General features: G+C 39.8%; 1 annotated feature.

The window, feature by feature from the left end:
* Positions 449 to 649: a silencer, noted in NCBI's record as "peak2085 fragment used in MPRA reporter construct". NCBI's record gives its function as "represses an SCP1 promoter by STARR-seq MPRAs in K562 erythroleukemia cells {active_cell/tissue: K562}" and the evidence as "EXISTENCE:reporter gene assay evidence [ECO:0000049][PMID:32103011]".

The following is a 7,384-nucleotide window of genomic DNA, read 5'->3' as shown; positions in this document are numbered from 1 at the left end:
TATTCCTAGGAACGTTCTAAAATAATTTTTCTTACTTCTCACTGGCTAAGTAAAACCAGGTCTTTTGGCAGTAGTTACATGCAAAACAGTGTAGGATGGGAGGAGCAAGGCAGTTGTGAGACAGAAGAGAAGAGACAGTCTATGTTGAACTCACAGTGTCTGCCAATGCTTATTTGTTACTTCCTAAGCAAATATCAATAGAAGCTACTTATATATCTTTGAACCATTGTACTATTCCAAATCAATATCTTCTTTAAAAAAAACTGAATTTGGGGACTATTTTTTAGCTCAGCTTAGCTAAGTTGATATATTCCAGCTGTGATAGCTTTTTAACATGGCATCTCGCCTAGGCTGAACTACAGTCCCCAGAATGTTCTTTCTAGTATGATTCCTGTTAGGATAGGCTATAAGAAAACCTTCTCTTTTTTTTAAGATGGAGTCTCACTCTGTGGCCCAGGCTGGAGTGCAGTGGCACCATCTCGGCTCACTGCAAGCTCCGCCTCCTGGGTTCTCGCCAATTCTCCTGACTCAGCTTCCCGAGTAGCTGGGACTACAGGCGCCGGCCACCAAGCCCGGCTAATTTTTTGTACTTTTAGTAGACATGGGGTTTCACCGTGTTAGCCAAGATGGTCTCGATCTCCTGACCTTGTTGATCCGCCTGCCTCGGCCTCCCAAAGTGCTGGGATTACAGGCATGAGCCACCGCGCCTGTCCTATAAGAGACATTCTTTAAGGAGAGATGAAGGACAAGAAAGAGTAGTGGCCATTTTGTAGCACACACACTCCTTCTCCCAATTATTCATCAAACACAAATCTAGGTGCTGTTGTGAAGCAATTTTACAGATGTTCGTATAGTCCCTAATTAGTGATTTCAAGTTAGTCAAAAGGAGGACTATGCTGGAGGCAGGGGGAGGAGGGAACTGACATAAGCAGTTGGAAGTTCAATTCAAAAGGTCTTAGGCCTTGCCTGAGGGAAAGACTCTGAATAGCCCCTGGCATTGTAATTGCCCCAACCCCTGGGCCCCAGCCCTGAATCTTCTCTTCTGACTGTTGCCCATGGTCAACTTTCAGAACATGTGGGGGTCTAGCCTGCTCAACTTCCCTCCCTGACTGCCTAAGCTGAAGACCAGAATTGCTTAGTCAACCCTACAGTTATATAAGGCCATTATTTGCTATATGTTGCATATATCCCTAATGTTGCTGTGATTCTACTTCTCAGATGGGATCCTGATTGAAGCACTACACCAAATAATTTTTAAGCCATCAGAGAGTGCATATAACATGGTAAAGAAGAAAGAGGTGAAGGAGGAGCAGGGGAAAGTGGGGTGAGGAAGAGGAGAATGAAAGGTAGAGCACTGTGCCATTTTTATTATTTTTATTCAGCCAGAGCGGCAATTATTTTTATTTTTTCAAAATAACAAACATAGAGCCAACTTTTAAAAATAAGTAGGAGAAAATAATTCTGTAGCTAACAAATTACTGGCAAAAGGTCAGTAATTTGATTGCTGTATAAAAAGGAAGCAAACTGCCAAATCTTCAAATATCATTATTTAAGACTGGATTTGTGTACATTATAAACAGAAAGTGTCTTGGATTTGCTTTCCCTAAGGAAAAGTAAGCAGAATTTTTTCTGAGAATGTACTGTGAATTATAATATAATAAAATGACTACAAAGAAAATTAAGTATAGGACACATAGAAAATAAGAAATTGGAGAATTCTAGATTGGATAAGTACACAGATCAAGATGAGGATCCTCAACAAGTTGTTTGCATAGAAAGAATTAAAACATTATTCACGACTCCTAGTGAGTATCGTATGCAAACAATAAAATAATTACCTATATCATAAATTATATGTAATTTCCATTCCATAGGATATTATCAGTCATGGTGGAGTAATCTCCTTTTTAATAATAAATTTCTCAATCAAAATCCCCCAAAACAAATTATTCTAAGCCAATATATGAACAAGGAAAAGTTTATCTGATTCTTGTACTCGGAGGAAGCAAGCTAGGAAAATATTAACTTTTTATGAACATTTCTTAAAGGAATGATTTACTTCTGGGAGTGAAACACGTTAAATTTATGTGTACAGAGCATAATATGAGAAATTGTGAAGCAGCACTATATAAATATGGAAGTTATATTTATATTGTTTTAGGGTATGTGTGAATGGTACCAGGAAATAGTAGAATAATTATTTTTTAAAATCTAGATTTTTAAAGTAGATAGATAAGATCTAAATTTCAGCTACCATTTGCTACGGATGTAATCTTGGACAAATTGATTCAACTCTAATTATTCATGGCCTTATCTGAAAAACATAAGGATAAAAATATTACTTCAAAATTTATAGGGCTTTTTTACAGTGCCAAGATCATAGTAATAAACCTAATGTTAAGTCCATGTGATTATTTTTTTTTTTGCTAGCTTATATTCAACTTCCCTTTATATGTATGCATTTTCTTTTAGTCACATTGCCATCTACAGTTATGAATATTAGCTTAATGTGTGTGTGTGTGTGTGTGTGTGTGTGTGTACTACATTGAAAAAAAATGCAGTGCCAAACAGTACATAACATATTCCAAAAGGAAACACTGTGAAGTCTGGGAGTAGTTTATAGTGCTACAAAGACCAATGATTCTTTGGAAGTCTGGGAAAAACCTGGAGACACATGACCAGATAATCATGTCAGCTAACACCATTTCTGAAAATCGTGGCAGCAAGGTACCACAGCTGTGAAGAGAGAGACTGCAAAATTAATCCCCAAATCAGCTTGGCTTCAATGTCATCTTTTCTGGTAGAAATTCCCCAGCCCATTATTATTATTACTTTTTTTGTAAATATCCTCCCCACCATCTTTATCTTTCCTTTCTTTTTATTCACCCTACAAGACCCCAAGCTTTTTGAATTCTAACACTCATAGCCTCTTCTTCTGAAATTTGCTGGAGAAAAAACATAAATGTCTATTGGTTTCATTTATAAATTTATGATATAAATTGACATCAGTTATTTCACAGCAACTCTCATATATTTTTCAGTTATATTTGCTTTCATACTCCCTCAAATACTATCTGCTTACTATTTTATCCTCCATTCTACCATTCTAAAAATTTTTCTACCTATATTCCTCCTCTTTTTTCACTCATGTCTGATAACATCATTGCCTAATTCACTTTAAAAAGGGAAGCCAGCAGATGAGGCACCTTCTTACTACCGCCAAATACAAAAGCCTATGCATCCTTTATGCATTTTCCCCTACTCTCCCTTGTAATGGACAAGGTTCCACAACTCCTATCTTATATCAAAGGTTTAGTCCTCTACTTGTTCTCTAAATCTTAGTGTGCCCCAAACCATTGTGTATAAGAATCAATTTGAGAACTCTTTAAAACTATATGTTCCTGGGTTATATCACAGAAATTCTACATGTCCCTCCAGTCTCAACTTTTGCCATTCCAAGTTGCCGTATGTGCATACATGTACAAATCACACCCAAGCATACACATGCACGTACCTAATCATACATACATACACAAATATACCTATTTCCTTCCGCATACAAACAGCACACACACATAAACACTTATACTTATCTACATAACGTGTACATATCCAGTACATACTGTTTAGGCTAAATTTTGTCCCCTAAAATTGATACATTGATGTCCCAACCTCTAACACCTCAGAATTTGACTATATTTGAATATATGAGGTATATTAAAGGTATATTACCTTAAAAAGTTAACTAATGTAAAGTGGGGCCATATAGGTAGGCCCTAATGTGATATGGTTGGTGTTATTATAAGAGGAGATTTGGATACAGACACACACACAAGGAAGACCATGTGAAAACATAGGAAGAAAACAGCCATCTACAAGCCAAGGAAGATGTCCTTAGAATTAAAATCAACCCTGATAGCACTTTGACTTAGACATCTATCCTCCAGAACTCTGAGAAAATAAATATTTGTTCAGACACAGTTCCTGGTATTTGTTATTGCAACCCTAGCAAACTAACGTGCATACATACACCAACTGTCTTCCCCTAGGCATTCACACACACACACAAACACACATACACCCCTATAAACAATCCCCAGTGATACCGTTTGGATCTGTGTCCACACCCAAATCTCACGTCGAATTGTAATAATCCCCACAAGTCAGGGGTGGGACCTAGTGGAGATAATTGAATGGTGGTAGTGGTTCCCCCCATGATGTTCTCATTATAGTGAGTGAGTTCTCACAAGATCTGATGGTTTTATAAGGGGCTTCTCCCTTCACTTGACACTCATTCTCTCTCCTGTCACCCTGTGAAGAGGTGCCTTTAGCCAGGATTGTAAGTTTCCTGAGGCCTCCACAGCCATGCTGAACTGTGAATCAATTAAATATCTTTCCTTTATAAATTACTCAGTCTTGGCTATTTCTTCATAGCAGAATGAGAACAGACTAATACAGTAAATAGGTACCAGCTAGTGGGACACTGCTGTAAAGATCCTGAAAATGTGGAAGTGACTTTGGAACTGGCTAACAGGCAGAGGTTGGAACAGTTTGGAGAGCTCAGAAGAAGACATAAAATGTGAGAAAGTTTGGAACTTACTAGAGACTTTGATATGGTTTGGCTGTGTCTCCCTATCCAAATCTCATCTTGAATTGCAGTTCCCATAATCCCCATGTGTCGTGGAGGGACCCAGTAAGAGGTAATTGAATCATGGGGACAGTTACCCTCCTGCTATTTTTGTGATAGTGAGTGAGTTCCTATGAGATCTGATGGTTTTAGAAGGGGCTTTTCTCTCTGCTCGGCACTTCCCCTTCCTGCCACCATGAGAAGAAGAATGTGTTTGTTTGCCCTTCCACCATAATTGTAAGTTTCCTGAGGACTCTCCAGCTCTGCAGAACTGTGAGTCAATTAAACTTCTTTTCTTTATAAATTACCCAGTTTTGGATATCTTTATTGGCAGCATGAGAATGGACCAATACAGTAAATTGGTACCAGGTCGTGGGGCGCTGCTGTAAAGATACCTGAAAATGTGCAAGTGACTTTGGAACTGGGTAACAGGCAGAGGCTGGAACAGTTTGAAAGGCTCAGAAGAAGACAGGAAAATGTGGGAAAGTTTGGAACTTCCTAGACACTTGTTGAATGGCTTTGACCAAAATGCTGAGAGTGATATAGACAATGAAATCCAGCCTGAGATGGCCTCAGATGGAGATGAGGAACTTGTTAGGAACTGGAATAAAGGTAACTCTTGCTATGCTTTAGCAAAGAGACTGGCAGCATTTTACCCCTGCACTAGATGTCTGTGGAACTTGGAACTTGAGGGAGATGATTTAGGGCATCTGGCAGAAGAAATTTCTAAGTATAGAAGCATTCAAGAGGTGACTTGAGTGCTCTTAAAAACATTCAGTTTTATGTATTCGCAAAGATATTGTTTGTAATTGGAACTTATGTTTAAAAGGGAAGCAGAGCATAAAACTTTGGAAAATTTGCAGCCTGACAATGCAATAGAAAAGAAAAACCCATTTTCTGAGGAGAAATTCAAACAGGCTGAAATTTGCATAAGCAATGAGGAGCCAAATGTTAATCACCTAGACAATGGGGAAAATGTCTCCAGGGCATGTCAGAAGTCTTCATGGTAGGCTCCCTATCACAGGCTTAGAGGCCTAGTAGGAAAAAATGTTTCCTGGGCCAGGTCCAGGCCCACCCTGCTGTGTGCAATCTCAGGATTTGGTGCTCTGCATCCCAACCATGGCCAAAAGGGGATAATGTGTAGCTCAGGCCATGGCTTCAGAGGGTGCAAGCCCAAAGCCTTGGAGGCTTACACATGGTGTTGAGTCTGCAAATGCACAGAAGTCAAGTACTGAGGTTTGGGATGTCAGAAGATGTATGGAAATGCCTGGATGTCCAGGCAGAAGTTTGCTTCAGGGGGGGAACCCGCAAGTAGAACCTCTTCTAGGGCAATGCAGAAGGGAAATATGGGGTTGGAGCCCCCACAAAATATCCCTACTGGGGCACTGCCTAGTGGAGCTGTGAGAAGGGGGCTACCATCCTCCAGACACCAAAATGGTAGATCCGCTGACAGCTTGTACTGTGCACCTGGAAAAGCTACAGCCACTCAATACCAGCCAGTGAAAGCAGCTGGGAGGGGGGCTATACCCTACAAAACCACAGGGGTGGAGCTTCCCAAGGCCATGAGAGTCCACCTCTTGCATCGGCATAACCTGGATGTCAGACATGAAGTCAAAGGAGATCATTTTAGAATATTAAGATTTGGCTGTCCCACTGGATTTCAGTCTCACATGGGACCTGCAGCCCCTTCATTTTGACCAATTTCTCCCATTTGGAATGGATGTATTTCCCCAATGCCTGTAGTCCCACTGTATCTAGGAAATAACTAACTTGCCTTTGCATTTACAGACTCATAGGTGGAAGGGACTTGCCTTGTCTCAGATGAGACTTTGGACTTGGACTTTTGATGTAATGCTGGAATGAGTTAAGACTTTGGGGGACGATTGGAAGGACATGATTGATTTTGAAATGTGAGGACATGAGATTTGAGAGGGGCCAGGAGTGGAATGATATGGTTTGGCTCTGTGTCCCCACCCAAATCTCACCTTGAATTGTAATAATCTCCATGTGTCAAGGGTGGGGCCAGGTGGAGACAGTTGAATAATGGGGCAGTTTCCCCCATACTGTTCTCATGGTAGTGAATAAGTCTCATGAAATCTTATGGTTTTATAAATGGAGTTCCCCACCATACGCTCTCTTACCTGCCACCATGTGAGATGTGACTTTGCTTCTCATTCACTTTCTGCCATGATTGTGAGAACTCCCTAGCCATGTGGAACTGTGAATCAATTTAAACTCTTTTCTTTATAATATACATTACTCAGTCTTGAGTATGTCTTTATTAGCAGCATGAAAACATGCTAATACAGCCAGATACTCTAAATCATCATTCTCAAGTTCAAAGTTTCACAGATCCATAGGGCAGGACCACAATCCAACCAAGCTCTTTACTAATGCATAACAGAAGTGACTTTTGTTCCAGTTCCCAGTATGTTTTTCATCTCCACCTGAGAATTCCTCAGCCTGGACTTCACTTTTCAAATCACTGTCAGAATTTGGTCACAATCATTCAACAAGTCTCTAGGAAATTCCAAACTTTTCCTCATCTTCCTGTCTTTTTTGACCCTTCCAAATCATTCCACACTCTGCCAGTTACCCAATTCTAATGCTGTTCCTCATTTTCAGGTATCTTTCTAGCAATGCCCCACTTCTCAGTACCAATATTTTGTATTAGTCCATTCTTGCACTGCTAAAAAGAAATACCTGAGACCGGGTAATTTATAAAGAAAATAGATTTAATTGTCTCATGGTTTTGCA

This window comes from Homo sapiens, chromosome 13 (genome assembly GCF_000001405.40).
Source record: "Homo sapiens chromosome 13, GRCh38.p14 Primary Assembly".
NCBI classification, from domain to species: domain Eukaryota; kingdom Metazoa; phylum Chordata; class Mammalia; order Primates; family Hominidae; genus Homo; species Homo sapiens.
This window is presented reverse-complemented; position numbering and strand designations above follow the sequence as displayed.